The 20,802-nt window shown below is 37.4% G+C and overlaps 1 protein-coding gene across 18 annotated transcripts in view; it reads right to left on the reverse strand.

Annotated features, from left to right (window-relative positions):
* DCDC1 (doublecortin domain containing 1) overlaps positions 1–20,802 on the reverse strand; it is a 506,137-nt gene that overhangs the window by 64,704 nt on the left and 420,631 nt on the right. For 14 of the 18 annotated variants that reach the window (XM_024448478.2, XM_024448476.2, XM_024448475.2 and 11 more), the window contains one exon: positions 3,465–3,646. In XM_024448478.2, coding sequence (XP_024304246.1) covers positions 3,465–3,646 — 182 coding nt within the window. Of the gene's footprint in view, positions 1–3,409; positions 3,647–13,901; positions 16,035–20,802 lie in introns of those variants that run through there. The other 4 variants (NR_170625.1, XM_024448483.2, NM_001387275.1 and 1 more) reach the window with 3 other exon arrangements.

Genomic DNA, 20,802 nt, shown 5'->3' on the forward strand with positions numbered 1-20,802 from the left:
TTCCAGCCATCAGAATCATGAACCACATAAACTTTTTTACTTTCTAAATTAACCAGCCTCAGGTATTTCTTTATAGTAACACAAAACAGACTAAGACATTCATGTTTTAAAAACTGGTTTATAATAGGTAAAATATAAAAATTTAACTACGCCACTCTTAATTCAAGCAAATATAAACCAAAGAAAGTTGCTATAAATTGTGAAATATGTTTTTTAAATGAGATTAATTTATATTTACAGAGTTGGCCATTCAGAAAGCTAGGGGAATTTGATAGACCTTGACATTTCGGGGAAAAACATTGTATTAAATAAGGTCTTAATTTATCATGATTTGCCCTAAAGTAATCTCTTTCTTTAAAATATACAGTTTCAAAAACTATCACAATGAAATATTTAACTTCATTTTAAATATTACATAACATGACATGTTATTACATAAATATTTATACTATGAGTAATTTTGTAAAACAATATATTTTCACTATTTTATTTCTCTTCTAATAATGCTGAACACTATGAAATATAAATTTTTCAACTTTGAAGAAAATTCAGAGATTGCATTCATTTTACCTGTAATTTTTTATTCATATATTGTCTTATTATTAACCCCAAATTTAAAATTTTTAGACTGAAAAATAAATAATGATGATCATAGAAAAAGATGCTTAATTTGAATATACATCTGCTCAAAGTTTTAAGTTAGGAAACTATTTTGTGCATTTTTTAGAATCTATATTTTATTAAATGAAATAGTTATCAAATACTTTATAATTAATTGTTCTTTCATTACAAATGGTGATCAAATATAACTAACCATTCATTCGTTCAGTAGTCACTAATTTAAGGCCTATGTAGGCCCTTAATCATGTGGCTAACAAAGTGACTCCCTAGTACCTTAATACTTGATTCATCAGAACACAATGATCTATGATCATAACATAGCAGATTGTACATCTGCTATGAATGAAGCATCCCTGTTCTCTATCTCATGGATGGAACATAAGCAGATAATCATGAAACTGAATGATAGGTGCTGTACTGGTGGAAGGCCCAGGGCTGGAGTAGTGGAATACACAGTAGACACAACTAACTCGAGAGGAGAGAGTGTCTCATTCAGGGTCAACATCTAGAAAGGAAATCTAAACTCATTCTCAAAAGACTTTTATTATTTAAGCACATAGGAAGTGTTGGAAAGTGGTGGTGGGTGGTTTGAGAGTGGGAATTGGGGGAGTGTTGATAGGAAATAGAGCTAGAGAAATATGCAGGGATAGGTCATAAAAGGACTTACAAGCTCTACTAAGGAGCTCAAGTGAGTTCAGAGATCATAACTTACTAATAAGTAATATATATATTGAAATCATCTAAAATATAAAATTTACTTCAAAGCCTCATCTGGGGCCTTTCCTCTTAAAATTCCTTAAATGTAACTTATAAAATTTTTCTTGTTTAACTTACATTTCTGAGAGACAAAATTTGCCTGTGACACAAGAAAAATTATGAAGGTCTTAATTTATATAAACTCGACAGTCACTATTAAGACTAATTGACAAGATCTTGTCACTCACTAGAGTAATAACCGACTAAGTAATGAACAAATACTATTTGATTTTCCTTAGGCTTTGTAGATGAAAGAACCAATAACAACAACAAAAACTCCTCAAAACTACCTCCAGTAAATTATTAAATAGCTAAAGGACAGCATGTTACTAGGGCAAGATTTGGTTAAAGTATATCTATATTTCATACTTCCAGCATGATTTTGCTTGTAGAGACACTAAACAGCCCAACACTCCTTCTTATAAATAAATTTCAGGTTAATGCAAGTAATATATGTCACTAGAAGTTATTTCTTCTGGAAGATGTGTAACTTGTATTTATTAAATACACCAAGGCACAGCAGGGCTTCTGCCTGGCACAACTCTAGGATGCCATTCATACAGATAACCATGTGAATGGAGCTCTCTGAAGCTGGACAACCAGCCACCCTGCAATGTAACCCAAGACCTTCCATTTAAACCTTCTGTGAACCAGTACTTACATCCAGCTCTAGGGGTGGGTGAATTCTATTGATGATATTATAGAACACTTTCTGAATCAGCAGAGAAATTAAACTATATGTAGTAGAGTTTTAGTGTTAAGTGTATGCCAGTGTATTTTAATTATTTGGGAGTAATTAATTCATATGGTGAACAAGTAACTCTAATACCTGAATACGTGATGAACTGGGACATACTGTTCCATGAACATAGCATATGGGCAGCACAGCATTTCACATATTCTCTGCTAGAACAGTTGTCCAAATTTACCATTTCAATCTCTTAAAATTTGTTCGGATTACCTGACTGAACCATGCATTTTAAAACATTGATGTGATAATATCTGTATGTAACTTTGAGCCACAATTAAAGATAGAAAACAAGAAAAATAATGAATGTAGGAAGAAACAGAAATTTTGTGTTAACTTTGGGTGTTACTTTTGAAGAGTCATACACTACTTTAAGGACATTACCCTCACATTTTACATCTAGCAGAATGAGCTAATTATGAAATGTATGCGTCAAAGAATTCAATTTCAGGCTTGACTTTACTTTGAAGTTTAATTTTTTACTTTATCATCTTTACAGGCAGTTCAGTGGTCATCCAATCTGAATGTTACTCATTGTTCAGCGATGTATGAAGTATATTTAATCAATGTGAAAAAAGTAGTATTAAACTATTATAGCAGCCTCAAATATTCTAAACATCTCAAAAGAAAGGTCAAGAGGTAATATGGCTGCTAATAATATGAGAAACAATGTGTTTAACTCATTCTTTACATCAGAGCTCTTCAATGATCTATGATGCCTTTTGTCATAAAATGAAATGAAAAGACAGCAGGTGATTTTTCTCCAATGTTGGAGAAAATATTGGCTATTGGGAAAATTTTATCCCAATAATAAGGTAAGCTAAAGTGTCAATAAATGTTTTTCTAGGGTGATAAACTTTTAAAATGTTATTCCAAGGAAGACTATAAATTATATAAAGTTATACTTTTGAGAACTGTATTTGTTCATTAAATATTCTAAAGATTTAAACATAATTGTGTATAATTTAACTTATATAAGGAGTTACAAAATTATATTTAAGGATGTTGAGTTCAATTATTTCAAGACACATTTATAAAACTCAAACAAAAATGCTAATCCAAATATACACTGATCACAGAATTTTTAAAAATAGAACTTTTAAAAAATCAGAGCTACTCATTTCTAAACCATTATCTTCTAAATTAGCAGAGTTCAAATCAAATTCCTGATGAAGAAACTAAATGAGTCCTAGTCTCTATTTTCATCTTCAAATATGAATATGGGAGCCCTTTTGCTAAATAAATACAGAATTCCCACAGAAAAACATCCATAATTAAGAACACAAAATCTGTACAAACTAGAAAGTGTATTTAATAAGTATGAACAAGTTGTTCTTACTGCGTTTTCCGTCCAGGTGAGATATCTGGACCAAGGATAGTAACGGATCTGTTTTTATTCTTCTCTCCATTCTGCAAAACTCTGAGTCGCACAGGGGCATATGGCTCTGTTGTCTTACAGATGGGTTTCTTCATGGGAGGACTGCTCGGAACAAGCAGTCCTTGTATTGGCCAATCAAACTCCTTCAGAAAGAAATGACAAAAACATAATAATAAATACAGAAGAAGGGTCATGTCTAGATTTTTAAAAATATTAAACACAGTTTATACCTTTAATCTCTCATTCATTCAACAAAAATGTATTGGGGTACCTAAGATGCTCCAGACAATTCTAATTAATGTTTTATTTGAAGAGGAAAGATAATTATTTTTAAAATTTCTGTAACAACCTGTGTTATGTTGCAAGATGAATGATTTATTCCCTCTCAGAGAAACATCATTCTCGAAAAAATAGAACCGAATGAACTTGGAATACTTTTGCTTACATGTTAAATATCTTTAATCAGTGTGAAGAAGGAATGTGACAAAAGTGGTTTTAAAATAGCCTGAAATAATACCACCTTAAACTAGATCTAATTGGCAAAAAAGGAATATATTTGGAGAATATTGCAAAAATAAAATAAAATAATGAACATAAACACATTTCACGTTTCAGTTGTAGAATTCAGTTACTTTTTAATTCAGTTTGTATCAATTTATCCATAAAATCATTTATTGATTAATTCATGTATTCTTCAAATATTTTTGAATGTTTACCATATATTCTAGGCATGATATTATGCACCAAAAATAAAACTATGAACCACACAAGATACTCTTCCTCGAATAATTTATAGCAGGTCTTCAGAAACTTACCTAAATATAGACTGGCAATTACAATAGTGTAAGTATGACGACAGGTTACAGGTGTGATGGGACCACATAGGGAGGAGAACCTAACTCAGAAATGTCATAGAACTGAGTCCTGAAGCCTTCGTAGGAGTTAATGCAGTAAAGGATGGGTAAAAAGAGGGATAGAGTAGGTTTATCAGACTTGAGGATTAATAGAATATGATGCTGGGGCAATAAAAGGAGGCAAGGGGGTTTCCAAGTTCACAGTTTGGGTAACTGGGTGGATGGTATTGCTGTTCACAGAGATAGACACTTGTGTGTGAAAGAAGAGTAAATGCAGGAAGGGATGATCAGTGATGATGCTGGGCAAGGTCCAAGTTTATTCTTTCTCTTTTTTTTTTTTCCTACTTTCATAAACCATTGCTCTGGCAGCATCTCCTGTTAATCTGCAATGACCATCCTGTAAAATATCACTACTGCATGTAAGTGTAGATCTGCTTTTGTTTCTCTTCAGTTTGTCAGTTTGTCTTTCCCTTCATAGTAATGTACTGCTTTGATTATAATATATTTTTATGTGGTAAGTCTTGATAACTGGTAGGGCAAATATGCTCACCTTTTTTTTCTTTTTTTGGGAATTGGCTCTTGTTGGCCCTTTGTTAATTCATATACATTTAAGAATAAGTTTGGTTAGTTTTTTTAAAAGTCTATTTGGGATATAAGTGCTCTATATTAGGTTAAGAAATTTATATTTTGTTAATATTTTTTCTTGAATTTGTGTTAAATCATATAAAGCTCTTTTTCCTTCATTTACTGAGATTTGCCTATATGACTAAACTCTCATCACTTATGTGTTAATTACATTAATTTTTAAAAATTTAAACTAATATTGCCTTCCTGGATAAATCAAAATTGCTCATGATGTATGACACTTGTTATAAATTGTTGAATTAAATGTGCTAATATTTTCTTTAAGATTTTTGCATGTACATTCATAAATGAAATTAACATGTAATTTTCAGTTGTTACCTTCCTCAAGGTTTGGTATGAACCTTCTGCTAGCCTCATGAAATGAATTGGAAAGTATTGCTTCTTGTGAGAAACACACTCACGCATCCAAACCCAAAGAATGGACGTAGAGGCACAACATCCCACTGCTGTTAAGACTCCTGCCACAATTATAAGAGATTTAAGGATTGAAGCTACCATGCCTTTCCATTTTCCAAACCAACCTTCTACCCAACATGTAAATGGGTCATCAATTCCAGCATTCTCTGCCAGTTCACTGGCTAGAGTTGTCAGCCCTTATAAAGTTTTTGTGATGGTGCCATCTGGGGCAGTATTGTTAGGAATGAAAGTACAACATTTTCCACCCAGCATAACACATACGTCTCCTTTTTCTGCTAGTATCATGTCTTAACGCAAGCCTGTTTCCCAGGCCACTCAGCTGGTGGCATCAAACTGGCTTACCATCCCTTTGAGTGCATTCCAAGTATAACTGATGAATCTTTGTTGATTACAATAGATGTAGTTAATCCAATTCACAATCTTAATAGTTGACCACCAGAAGAGTGCTGACTCAAACCCAGTAGGTATTTGGTTTCGGGCCTTAAATTTATTAGGCGACCCCCTAGGGACTCCTATCAAGTCAACATATGTATTGGGATCAAAAGAATTTGTCAAATCTCTCTGGTTTTGGTGGCCATGTGTATTTTCAGGTATCTTGTGGAATGCCAGGGTGAATGGAATGGCCAATTAGACTAAAGCACAAGTTCCGGTCCAATTGGATGGTAACAGGTTATAGAAGTTCCTTTTCCCACAATATCACCAGCTTGGGGTATATGGAGAGCTGAATAATTGCCATTGCTTGACTAACCAGTGACGTTTAGGATATAGGTACAAGTTGGGAGTTCTCCCACAGGCTTACTGAATACTGCCCCCTGCCTAGAGAGGCAAGAGGAGTGGTTCATATTCCCTACAGAGAATGAAGGGATTGCTCTGGGATCCGACCTCTGCAACGTGGGAAAGAGCAATCACAGAGTCTTATAGGTCTCATTTCCCCAAGCATCCTTATCCTGGCATAGAGCCAACATGCAATGCATTCCTTTAGGATCAATATTCCATCCTAAGGGAAACGGAACCACCTGTGCCTGGGGTCGTCCTGCAGCAACACATGTAACAGTTACTCTTGTTGAGGGCTTGTAGCAAAAAGTTGACCCATTTGATCCAGGCATTCACATCCCTGTACCCTGTCTCAATTTCTAAGGTTTGCCTTAAATCCTTTACCTCAATTGTTTTTACCCTTTTAGGGTCATTGTTTGGTAAAGTGTTTATTAGGGTCTGGGTTTGGAGTAGTCCCAGACAAATGGGAGGTTGAGTTCTTGATTAGTTTGGGAACAAATCACCCTAGGGGGTAAACTTTCCCTGTGTTGACAGCCCCTAACCCATATACCTGAGATGCTACTTTTGGTTTTTGGTTTAGAACAGCTGGATTGTCAATGGTGATAAGTATAGGATTGCATTCTAAATTCTGGCAGTTATTTGGCAGGGAGACCTTGGCCCCTTGGACACATGTAGTTTATTCTTCAAGGGTCTCCAATTCAGAGTTACTTACCCTATGTTACTGTCCAACCCTGAAATTGGGTAGTCCATCATACGTCATCCCAGCTGGGGCAGGGTAACACCCTACTGTACCTTGTATCTGGTTCAGGGCAAAGATATTTATCTGCCTGTGAGAGCCATCTCTGATTTTCTAAATTCCCACAAGGTAAAACCTGGCAGGCATCAAATCTTATAGTCTGGGATGCTACCGTCTTCGTTACATTAATTACTAACCTGATTGGGTAGGGAGTAGGCCCCTGCCAGTTTCCATTTTGGCCTTCTCTTCTTTGTATAGCAGCCCATCCCAGCCATATTAACTTCCAGAAATGGAACTAGCCCATGTTTTCTGTTTGTTTGTTTGTTTGGGTTTTTTTGAGACAGAGTCCCACCCTGTCACCAGGCTGGAGTACAATGGTGCAATCTCAGCTCACTGCAACCTTTGCCTCCCAGGTTCAAGCGATTCTCCTGCCTCAGCCTCCTGAGTAGCTGGGATTACAGGTGAGTGCTACCACGCCCAGCTATGTTTTGTATTTTTAGTAGAGATGGGGTTTCACCATGTTGGTCAGGCTGGTCTCGAACTCCTGACCTCGTGATCCGCCCGCCTCGGCCTCCCAAAGTGCTGGGATTACAGGCATAAGCCACTGTGCCTGGCCTCATGTTTTCTTTTTACATTTTTCTCAGAGTTAACTTTAAGGGTTCCTCAGGTGACCCATGCACTGGTCTTTTTCCCTCCCTTCTGGGGTCTCTTTTACCAGTCCCTTGACTGGAGTATAGTGAGTCCACCACATTCAGCTGTTTGCACAGCGGTCTCAGTGGTTAGGAACACTTAATAGGGACCTTCCCAGTTTAGGTGGAGCTTGTCTTCTTTCCAAGTCTTAATCAGCACCAAGTCACCAGGCTGGAAGTGGTGAACCATGAATTTAAGAGGCAGAGTTTGAGTCAGAAGTCCTTTTAACCTGAGGGATGACAGGGTGGAGGATATGGCCAGTATATAATTTCTTAAAAATTGGTCCTTGGTTTCCATAGTAGGAAGATCTGTAGCCCTGTCCAAATATGCGAGTCCATATAATAACTCATAGAGGGACAATCCCAAGTCTTTTCTTGGGGCTGTCCTAATCCTAATGAGTGCTAATGGGAGACATTTGGTTCAAAGCATTTTAGTTTCTATGATTAGTTTGGTGATATGCTTTTTGAGAGTTTGATTTATTCTTTCTACCTTTCCAGAGGAAGGGGGATGCCAAGGGGTGTGATAATCCCTTCTAATTTGTAAACCTTCCATAATTTCCCTTAACACCCTTGAGGTACCTTCCTTCCTAAGCTCATGCAGTTCAAAGAAATCACTCTCTTCTAACAAAGGGCAGCCTGAAAGTTGAGGTTGTAAATGACAGATAAACAGCTTAAGCACAGAAAGGGAGTGGGGAAGACTCCTGGGTTATCACCAAACTTCACATTCATACAGTGGGCTCCAGTAGAAACACTGGGCCTTAATAAGCACATTCCTTTCCCTTTAGGCACACTAAGGGAAGCTAAAAGCAGACTGGGGGAAGATGCCTGCAGCTGGAAGATGTCTGGGAACAGACACAGAAACTCTCCCTCCCAGATAAGCGACACAAAGGAATATTTTATGGTGATACGTAGGTTCTAATAGTCAATTTTTAATTAATCCCTCCATTACTGGTTGGAAGTCTTTTCTCCCTTAAATAGCAATGGGATATTGCTCCTGCAAACTACTTCTCATGGTTGTTTTAGTTCAATCTGTAAGGGTGTGATTTTTAACCCTCCCCTGTTGCCTTCCCCAACCCACACAAGGGGATTAATTTTTCTTTCCTTCTCCTCTATTAGGAGGCTCATCATTACCTTTATTTGTCCTTCCTCTATTCTTAATCCTAAACCCAACCTCACAACTACGTTTTTACCCAGGAGGTTAGTTCTTGCTTCAGAAACATGTAAGAGTGACCCCTCAATTTGTTGTGGTTCCATTTAACATTTTCTTGAATATCAGAACCTCAAATCCCTCCCCTCTTACCCCTGATACTGCTAATTTTCCCTTAGAGAGTTCTGTATCCCTTGGTTGGTGAATTAGGGAGGAGCGAGCCACCCCAGTATTAACCCAAAATGTCACTTTTTCTCCCTCAGGTCCCACCTTCAAATTTATCAAGGGTTCCTGGTGGGACCTACTCAAAAGGAACCCCTGACTCCCCCAGTCCTCATCAATGGTCATGAGGGGGATCACCTTTTCTTCCATCCAGGACATTCTCTCTAAAAATGCCCAGGCTTTCCACACTTGTAACATCCACTCATAGTCTTAGGAGCTTTTCACTGCCTTTCCCTTCCTTCCCTGTGTCGAAATCTATCATTCCCTCATCTCCTTCGAGGGAGATCTTGATCTAACCTTTTTCTGACTACCTATTCCACAGTGGAAACCATGATTTTCACTTTTTGTTTCTGCTTATCTTCCTCTCTCCTTACAAAGACCTTCTGAGCTTCCCTCAGTAATTCCTCAATCGGTTTTTCATTCCATCCATCAATCTTCCACAGTTTCTATTTTATCTTCCTTATGTAGCTCCCCAACCCTTCTACAGCCTTACTGACAGCTGCCCCCAGTGGACTTACAGCCTCTCAGGAAAACAACAACAAAACCTTTAATGGTTATCTCATCCATTTACCCTTCCATAACCTGAATCCTTTCTACCGCCTGCTGACAAACAGCTACTTTGCAGGCAACCCACTACTCCTCAAGCAGCCTGATCCTAAACTCTCCTCCACATCCCTTTGTCACTTGCATCCACCAGTTTCCGGGCTCTGTTCCTCCTCAATGGCCTCATTGCACCCTTTCCCTGCACCTCCTTGCTTGAACCTCCAGAACCTTCCCCGAGCCCTGCCAACCTCTCCACATCCTCTCACTTCCTCTTGTACTCTTCCTTCCTTTTACATTATTTTTCTCCCCAGTCTCACCTTCTGTGTCTCTCTTTGATCTCTGTCTTTTCCAGTTTCTCTCTCGTTCATTTTTCTTCTTCTATCTCTCTCTCTCTCTATCATCTCCTGTTTCCTTTCTCCCTAACACTCAGTTTCTTCCTCTTTCTCTCTCTGGGCACGAGCCAAGCCGTGCTGTGCCCTGGCTCCCTCCTGTCTGTCTGCAAAGACGGACAGCTCTGCTGAAACGACAAAGATTCAGCAGCAGCTTTTATCAAGTTTTTAGCAGCCAGCTCTCACACACAGTTGTGCAGCTGGCTCTCCCCTGCCTTCAGGGTCAGCAGCTTAACTCCTTCTCTCCCTCTCTGGCCCTCTACATTTGCTGTTTCCTCCCCTTTCTCTTTCTGATTTCCTTTCTTACTTTATCCCTTTTTTCCTTTCTTCTTTGAGGGGGAACATGGGGGCTAATTACTTGATCCAGCAGAGAGCATAACCCATCTCTTCTTGTGAGGATGGGGTTTTATTATTCACATAGAGAATTAAAGCTTGGCACACCCAATCCCCATCTGAGCCAATCTTAGGCCAAAAGACCGAAGGCATACTAACGGGGTCTTTGGGCCAGATAAAACAGCAATACTTTATCATTTTTTGTTTTTCCTTATCCATAGTTTGGGGGTTATTTCCCCAAGCCTGTAACATCCTTCCCAGTGAATTATCTGTGGGAATGTTGGAGGGGGCCACGTTGGCTCCCTCCTTCCTTTGTTCCCTAGGCCTAGAATTTTTGCTTCCCATTTTCAGCTGGTCCTCATGTCTGAGTTTTCCTGTGTACTCAACCCCCCTTATTGGAGGTTTCTTTTACACCCTGTGAGTCAACTGCTTTGTCTGTCTCCAGCTGTTTCCCTCGCGGGATAATGGAACCACAGACTGGGACTCCACACTTGCTTTGTATCTAGGATACATCTCAGACACACATACTCGACCTCTGAAAATGCCCAACTACCAAGGCAGTACTTATAGTCCAATTTTCCTATCTTGGCTCATGCACGAGGTTGCCTGGTTGCCGCAGGGCTTGCTTTTCTCCCTGTTACCTCCACTGTCTCCTGAATAACAGTCTCAGGTTTATCTATGGCTTCAGTGGGGAGCTGGGACACCCAGAGAGAGCGGGCCACCTAAATTGGTTGGGACACCTCTCCCCTCTTGGCTGGAGTCCCACTCTATGCAGGCACAGAGATCCTGGATGGACCACCAGGTTGTGAGAAACACACTCACCCGTCCAAACCCAAAGAATGGACTTAGAGGCACAAAGAACAGCAAAAGTGAGAGTTTTTAATAACAGTCTTGCAAGATCAGGTGTCTGGTGAGCAGGCACATCCAGGGCAGTCACAACAGGTAATTTATCCCTCACCACACAAGTCCCTCTCCCAGTTCCTCACTGGTTGAGAACTATGGGGTTAAAATCTTCCCAAATGTTGCCTAAGTTTCATTATTCCCCTTGTAAGGTTATAAACCGTCCCTTTCCTCTCTTAAGTTTCAATTTCCCAATAATGAAACTTTCTTCTCTTTAATGAGCTGACCCCACCTCTACATTTTGTTTGCTTATTGTGACCTTCTAGGTACATGAGCTGAGCAGTTTGTTACATTTGCAGGCTGGCTGTCAGTACTTGATTTATCATGTCTTGAAAATGGACCATTTAAAAGGTTTTTTCACACTTCTTTTCTTATATTCTGAAATATTTGTTTCCTATGTTTAGTAGAATTTGTCAGTAAAACTATTAGATCATGAAATTATTTCTGTGTGGAAATTTTGACTACTGATTCTATTTTTTCTATGGTTTTTGGACTATTAAGGCTGTCTCTTCTTGGGTCCATTTTGTTACATTACTTTTGTCCAGAAATTTGGCCATTTTATTTATTTAAGCTACTATATTTATTAGCACAAAGTTACTTGTAATATTCTTTTGCAATCTTCTGAATCTCAGTGTCTATATTCATATCTTTTATTCTTGAAACTGGCCCAATTATCCCATAGAACTTATGTTAATCATTTGTCTTGAATAAACATAGAAATTGACCCTTCCAGTCTCGAAACTTGAGAAAGTTACATTTGTCTTATCTGAGTTCCTTTCTCAGGAAGCCAATCATCAGGCCTCCCAGACAGCATCAAGGAACTAAAACATACCAGATCACTGTATCTGGACAATGAGATGCCAGACCCCCAGTTGTTATGATTGCCTAACTAACCACCTGCTTCCTGTTGACCAACCCCTCTTCTTTACCTCTCCCCAGTTCCTGTTTTTCCATACACGGTTGTGTTTCTTTCCTGCTATATAAACCCCTAATTTTAATGGGCCAGGGAAATAGATCTGAAACTGATCTCCTATCTCCTTGGCTGCAGCCCAGTTAAATGAGATTAAAGCCTTCTTGCCTGGCAATATTGGTTGTCTCAGTGATTGGCTTTCTGTGTGACAAGCAGCAGGACCTAGACTGAACCCCTGGAGTTTTGGTAACATTTTTAATATTATTATTTTTTATCTTAATCAGTTTTGACAATTATATCGATTTTATTAATATTTTCAAAGAACCTAAATTTGACTTTGATGACTCTGGTTTATATGAATCATCTATTTCTGATGTAAGAGCATTGGTTTCTGCTCTTACAATTTACTATTTCTTTCCTTCTAATTCTTTGACTTCATTCTGTCACCATTGGCAGAACAGATGCTTATCTCATTAATTTTTAGCCTCTTTTCCATTTTAATATAAGCATTTAAGGCTATAAATTTCCTTCAAGTATGCTTTAGCTGATTCTAACACCTTTTGCTTTGATTCTAAATGTTTCCTTTTTAAAATTTTCATTATGCTTTCTTCTTCGTCTCACAAGTTAGTTAAAACATCTTTGTAAATTTCTAATATATGGTCTTATAAAATTATTTTAGCTATTTATTTTTAACTTAATCTATCAGTTAAATGTGCTTGCATTATTAGACTATATCAAGGACCCTATATCAAGGACCCAACTACTTTTCATCACCTCCATTCCTACCATCCTGGTCCAAGAAATTATTTCTTCTCAGCTAGAGACTGCAAAAGCCTTCCAATTGCTTATTCCTGTTTCTACCTCAGCCCATTTTACTCTATTGTCATAATGATCCTATTTATCCTTAAGTCAGAGCATATCACTCCTTTGCTCCAGACCCTCCCACGGCTTTCTATCTCAGACTAAAAGCCAAAGGCCTTATAATGACATGGAAGGCCCTGCATGATCAGTACCTCCTATTTTCTCTCTGACCTTCTCCCCTGCTGCCCTCTCCCTCACTCACACTGCTTCTGTCATATTTTACCTCAATGTCCCTTAAACACATCATCTCAGTTGTTTACATTTCCTGGCATGCTATTTTCCTAGAGATCTGCTTGTTCTTCAGGTCTTTACTCAAATATCACCTCAATGAAGCCTTACCTAGTCAATCTAAAATTTCCAAAGCTAGTAATTTTCTAAATTTTAAAAATTTTGGAAATTTACTAGTAATATTCCAAAATTTTTAAAAGCTAGGACAACATACATTATTATATTAACTTACATTCCCTGAAAAGTTTTTGAATCTTGCAATTATGTTGTAGAAAGTGTTGTAAATAAATTATAAACAAAATCTGAAAACTGTGAAGATTACTGAAAAAGCATCTAATCATGAGGCACAAATTTGTGAGATGAGTGCATAAATACCATTAATTGCATTTAATTAGGAGAAAAGCAGTATAAATAAGTGTTTAAAAATCAGATGAGCAGAATGATTTCAGTTTAAATGTTTTTTCCTTTATATTTTTACTAGAATATCTTGCTTGGTAAACATGTTAACAACAGCGACAAACAATAAGGGTGACTTAACACAATTCTAAATAAGAAAAATTTGAACTACAGAAGCTTCATTTTATTCCTAAACCTCACTGAGAAACTTTCACCAGTACAGAAATAATATTGCAGAGGGTAGATGATCAAGTGTTTATTTAGATAAGTGTCTGCTATCTATGAATGGAGCAACATGGGGCTGTTTTTTCTTATTATGGTTACTGAGAATAAATTATCAAAGGTTATGACAACTTCATTGTATATTTTTATTTGAAATTGGCCTGTTGTATAAAGGGAAGTAGTGGGATGGAGTCACATAACTTCAATAAGTATGTTTGGGATTTGTCTGTAACTATTCTATAGCGGAGATATTGAACAATTTAGTTGATGGAGAAAATCAACTTTTATACTAGTTTCAGTCATAAAAGATCATGAAGCAAGGGTTGGGTAGGTGAGAGAGATGGTGAGGGAATCTCATTAGAAAATTACTGTTGCATTGAAGTCTTGGTGTAAAATAGCTAATATATCTCTTTCTTTCTGAACCATGGCAGGGAAAGGCAAAAGAAACAAGATTCTCCTTCATGCTTTGTCTGTGATACATGTCGATTCATAGATTCAGGGTGTGTAACTGTTCTTTTCAATATCCCAAGTATGCTATATTTCTGATGAACATATCTGAAGTGTGCTGTCTTAGCTCCTAGCTATTTCTACATTTTCTCACTTCCAACTTGTCCCATGGCAAATGGTAGCATCTGCAGACATTGGCTTTGGCACTACTGAAGCACTGCTGTCTTTGGATGGCTTCTTTTACTTTCCAGTTAGACGAAGGAAGCCCAAGAGTCTTCTCTTTTTAATGTGAGACATCACAGAAACCCAATTAAATGAGATTAAAACGTTAACTTGGGTTTCAAAACTTTACAAATGTTAACTACTACTGTCGGTTCTTCCTTTAAGCTGCTTTAATTCTCGTTCTGGTGTTTCAGGCACTTTCATTCTGTCCTTCATAGACATAGAGAAATAAGGCGTTGGGATAATGAAGGACAACAAAAAGTACAGATATGTAATTAAACTGACTGGAGTGCTGGTTCTTCTCCCTCCATTTTCTCAGTTGGAATTCTTATGTTCCCATGCATGTCTTTATTGGTTTTCTCTGTGTTCACACTGCTCTATGTCACAGCTCCACAGTCGGGAGACCCTAGATGAGCTGTGGTGCTCCCTTAAATTGATCATTCTTCTTTTTTTTTTTATCTCTCTCTCATAAGAGAGAGAGCATGTGTTCGTTTTGGGAGTCCAGCTCTTAACCAGCAATCTAAGTTTCATAGCTATATTAGTCCTCTTTTATCTATTTGCTATTAACAATATAATATATTCTTCAATGTTCTCTCCTGAGCCTTCCCACGTCTCCTTTTCCCCCCTCTTTATTCTGGTAGCTACTTATTATCATCTCTCAATAGAGTAATAAACTTTTAGCTTTGTTCTGTCTGGCATGGCCCGTCCAAATGGATATATTTTAATTTAGATACTTTAAAATAACTATCCAACAGCTCATTCCAAAATCGTACATCTTTTTAATCTTACTTTTTACCACAATTCCTTCCTTGAATATGAAAATCCATTGCTCCTTACCTTTAAGTGTTTAGAAGCACAATTTTTCAATTCACAACTTTTCCCCCATAGAGTGAGAAAATAACTTGAGTTCCTCTAATTTTTTCCAGTGAACTTAGTCACAAAAGAAACCAAAAGAATTTATTAATGTTGGTTTTCAATAAGGCTTTACCATATTTAAAAAATACTGATATCCCTAGATATATTAAATGCTGTTTGTTCATAAAAATATTATCAATTGCCTTTTAGTATGAATAATATTTAAAAGTGAGGACAGCATGAAATCAGTTCTCAAAGCAGCTGTCACCACTGAGAGGTACATAGTTTTTAGTATTAATGCAGTCTGAGACATTACCAAGATAATTCCATATTTCTATATTGTTCATACTTCCTTAGTCATCATTCTATTTTGAAAGTTTCTTGTCAAGGAACTAACAGGAGAATTGGAGTCTCACTCAGGGTGTTGTTTGTTAGATGGTTTTCCTAGATTTAGTATTTTTACTTAATTTTCAGGCCCATTTGGACAATCAGCCCAGCTGATCTTTCTTCACAGTGACTATATGACTAAATAAACTGGCTCAATGCATAGCCTTGATTTCTGGAACACCAAACTTTTTCTGTGAGTTTCTTCTCTCTCCCTTCCTTCTCCTTTATTCATCAACTCTGTCTCCTTCCTTTTCTTGTTTCTTCCTTGTTGACTCATAGCTTATACTTCTTAATCTGTAAGCTTCATGAACTTAGGAACCAAGTCTATCTCCTTCCTTGCTCTGTCTGCATTGCCTAAATATGTAAGACATAATGGTTAGATAAATAGTAAAGTTGGAAACTTAAATCCGGTATAAAATTATTATTTATGCTTATAGTACCCAAAGTATTCTGAATGCCACAATATGAGTGTCACATTTCCTAATCACAGTTTATTTATATGGAAAGCTTTCCAACCAAAATATGAATTGCATTTAACTGTTCACTGAAATAGAGTTTGTTCTGCTAAAAAAAAATCAGTTGCTTGAAAATAGGACTGGAAGAAAATATGGTTCCTTCAAATAAGGTGGATTCAGACTTTAAGTGAAATACACTGTATTTAATTTTAAATTTGAGTTTCCCTGCTTGGTAAGTATTCTCTTCTCTTCCTCAGACATTTCAATAAGTAGGAGGACCCTTAGACTGAGTCATTTTGAAATACATAGTCAACTTGTCTATCTTTAGCTACTGTAGTGCCTTAGTTCTTTCCTTTTGGTTTACAAGTAAGGGACAGATTTTTGTTGGGGTGCAGTAATTTATCTACTCCACACAAAAGCTACTGTTCTGTTTGAATAGCCTAGAGAACTTTGAAGTAGTTTGTATTCATGCCTAAGATTATGTAATTGTCAAATCACAGACCATCAACAAAAATGTCTTTTTTTTTTTTTTTTTTTTTTTTTTTGAGACGGAGTCTCATTCTGTCTCCCAGGTTGGAGTGCAGTGGCACAATCTCAGCTCACTGCAACCTCTGCCTCCTGGGTTCAAGCAATTCTCCTGCCTCAGCCTCCTGAGTAGCTGGGACTACAGGCATCTGCCACCATGCCCGGCAAATTTTTGTATTTTTAGTAGAGACGGGGTTTCACTATGTTGGTCAGGCTGGTCTCCAACTCCTGACCTCATGATCTGCCCGCCTCAGCCTCCCAAAGTGCTGGGATTATAGGTGTGAGCCATCGCGCCTGGCCAAAAATGTCATTTTTAAAGTAAATATTAAAAGGAACTTTGTTCACTTAGGTTTTCTAATATAATTACCATTAATCACTTAAATCAATTAATTAACTGAATTACTTGTACTTTTATGCCAAGTTATATATATATATGCACAATATTGGCCAGGTGCAGTGGCTCATGCCTGCAATCCTAGCACTTTGGGAAGCCGAGGTGGGTGGATCACTTGAGGTCAGGAGTTCAAGACCAATCTGACCAACATGGTGAAACCCTACCTCTACTAAAAATACAAAATTAGCCAGGCATGGTGGCACATGCCTGTAATCCCAGCTACTTAGGAGGCAGAGGCAGGAGAATCGCTTGAACCCAGGAGGCAGAGGTTGCAATGAGCCAAGAAGGTGCCATTGCACTTCAGCCGGGGTAACAAGAGCAAAACTCCATCTCAAAAATCTATCTATCTATCTATCTATCTATCTATCTATCTATCTATCTATCTATCTGTCTGTCTGTCTATCTATCTATAGATAGATATGCACAATCTATGAAATTTGTAATAATTATAATTGTTTCTCTTTCCCTACATAAAAAAAGTATCTTCTTGTGAGGCAGCTCTGTTCACCACCCATCCATTAGGTGGGTGGGAAGCTTGATATTCCAACTAGAAGTGTCCCAGTTTCTGCCTATTTAAAACAGCCTCTTTTTTTGTTCGTTTTTTAGCTCTGTCCTTTTGAGTACCTATTCAATCAAATTGAAGGTTCAAACTTCTTAACAGGACTGTTGTTTCCTTTCAGAGATACACTTTTCCCCCTGAAGATGGTTTCTGAGTTCATATGAAAACTCAATAAATCATATACCATTGGGAAAGAGGTCCACAGTGTCCATATGGAGGTACTTGTGATGTCCTGGATTCTCAGAGGCCTCTAAGGATATTCCTCTTGCCCTATTTGGCTACTAGGCAACCTGCTGGCACCTGCTTACCACCAGCAGTGGTGTACGTTATCCTGCCTGATCTCTGGTTTTAGCCTCATCCTCCTTAAACCTCTGTAGAGAAATCGGTGCAATTCAGTCTTTTCTTGGCTCATGCTTGGCCTCCTTGTCTCTCCATGCCACCCCTTCATGCTTGGCCCCATGTGGGCCCTCAAACCCTGAGTTTCAAACATATTAATTCATCCAGCCACTGGCTTAGACTGCCCACCACAATGCTTTTGCTATTTTGAATAACTCTTTTTTTCTTTTAACAAAACTTATGTTTTCCAGACTGTTGCTTCACTAAAGTCTAAGTTTAAGAACATCTTTAGGGGCCAAAACAATGACTTCTTGGCTTCAGACTCCATCTGTTCATGATCAAAAGTGCTGCAACTCATTGATTCAATCAGTGAGAAAGCACAGGGGATCATGATTTTTAAGAGGAAAGAATAAAAACTTGGTTGAGACCAGAAAATATGACAAATTAGACAAGTTGATTGACTCTCTGCTGCAAACAACTAAAAAGTCAGGATAAATTATTTCTAAAAAATCTTTTAGACTGTGCCATTGACCTAGAAATAAAATATTACATACTAGAGATCCAGAGAGATAAGCAGAATGCTCAACCTAGCTTTTATCTGGATGGAATTTGGTCTTGCAGAGGAAGGGCTCAGGACACATATTCCAAAGGTCAGCCAAGAAAGGAAATCTAACAGGAGACCATCTCCCTTCATAAAACAAGAATCACAACAGGCTAAATTTCACTGAAAACGTAAACCATAAATAATACTTTTCCAGGATGTTACAAGTAAAACAGACTATCTCAAACATTTTCACTGTGTGAAGAAAAATAATCATTGAGGATTCATATCACAGGTTGATCCTTGGAGTTTAAATAATATTAGACAAAGATGAAGAGAAAATTAATAATATGGAAGAAAAATGTCTGAAAATAAGATGCAAAAATGCATCATAAAGATACAAAGAGATGAAAAATATTAAAGAAGAGTTAAGAGACATGGAAGTCAAAATAAGGTCTTGTGTGCACCTAATCAGATTTCTATAAGGAACAGAGTGAAGCATTACCTGACTTGAAATTGTACTACAAAGCTATAGTAACCAAAATAGCATGGTACTGGCATAAAAACATATAGACTAAATGAATAGAATAGATGGCCTATAAATAAATTCACACATTTACAGTGAACTCATTTTTGTCAAATATGCTAAGAACATACCATGGGAAAAGGACACCTTCTTCAATAAATGGTGCTGGGGGAAAATGGATATCCGTATACAGAAGAATGAAACTAGACCCCTATTTCTCAACATATGCAAAAATAAAATCAAAATGAATTAAATTATCAAATCTAAGACCTAAACTTATGAAACTATTAGAAGAAAACATTAAGAAGTAACTTCAGCACAAGAATAGTCTGGGAAGAATTTCTTGAGTAACAGCACAAAAGCACAAGAAACCAAAGCAAAAATGAAAACATGGGATCACATCAAGCTAAAAAGCTTCTGCAACAGCAAACGAAACAATCAACAAAGTAAAGAGACAACCCACAGAATGGAAGAAAATATTTGCAAACTACACATCTGAGAAGGGACTAATAACTAGAATGCATAAGCTAAAACAACTCAATAGGAAAAAAAAATCAAATAACCTAACAAAAAAAGTGGGCAAAAGAGCTGAATAGACATTTCCTTAGAAAACTGGCATGAGACAAGTATGCCCTCTCTCACCACTCCTATTCAACATAGTATTGGAAGTGGCTGGCCCAGGGCAATCAGGCAAGAGAAAGAAATAAAGAGTATTTGAATAGGAAGAGAGGAAGTCAAATTGTCTCTGTTTGCAGATAACATGATTGTATATTTAGAAAACCTCATCATCTCAGCCCAAAATCTTCTTAAGCTGATAAGCAACTTCTGCAAAGTCTCAGGATACAAAATCAATGTGCAAAAATGACAAGCATTCCTATACACCAATAATAGACAAGCAGAGAGCCAAATAATGCGTGAACTCCCATTCATAATTGCTACTAAGAGAATAAAATACCTAGGAATACAACTTACAAGGGATGTGAAGGACCTCTTCAAGGAGAACTACAAACCACTGCTCAAGGAAATAAGAGAGGACACAAACAAATGGAAAAACATTCCATGCTCATAGATAGAAAGAATCAAAATCGTGAAAATGGCCATACTGCCCAAAGTAATTTATAGATTCAGTGCTCTCCCCATCAAGCTACCACTGACTTTCTTCACAGAAGTAGAAAAAACTACTTTAAATTTCATATGGAACCAAAAAAGAGCCCTCATAGCCAAGACAATCCTAAGCTAAAAGAACAAAGCTGGAGGCATCATGCTACCTGACTTCAAACTATACTACAAGGTTACAGTAACCAAAACAGCATGGTACTGCTACAACAACAGATATACAGACCAATGGAACAGAACGGAGGCCTCAGAAATAACACCACACATCTAAAACCATCTGATCTTTGACAAACCTGACAAAAGTAAGCAACAGGGAAAGGATTCCCTATTTAATAAATGGTGTTGGGAAAACTGGCTAGCAATATGCAGAAAATTGAAACTGGACCCCTTCCTTACACCATATACAAAAATTAACTCAAGATGGATTAAAGACTTAAACATAAGACCTAACACCATAAAAACCCTAGAAGAAAACCTAGGCAATACCATTCAGGACATAGGCATGGGAAAAGACTTCATGACTAAAACACCAAAAGCAATGGCAACAAAGCCAAAATAGACAAATGGGATCTAATTAAACTAAAGAGCTTCTGCAAAGCAAAGGAAACTATCATCAGAGTGAAAAGGCAACCTACAGAATGGGAGAACATTTTTGCAATCTATCCATCTG

Source organism: Homo sapiens, chromosome 11 (assembly GCF_000001405.40).
Source record: "Homo sapiens chromosome 11, GRCh38.p14 Primary Assembly".
In the NCBI taxonomy this organism is placed as follows: Eukaryota; Metazoa; Chordata; class Mammalia; order Primates; family Hominidae; genus Homo; species Homo sapiens.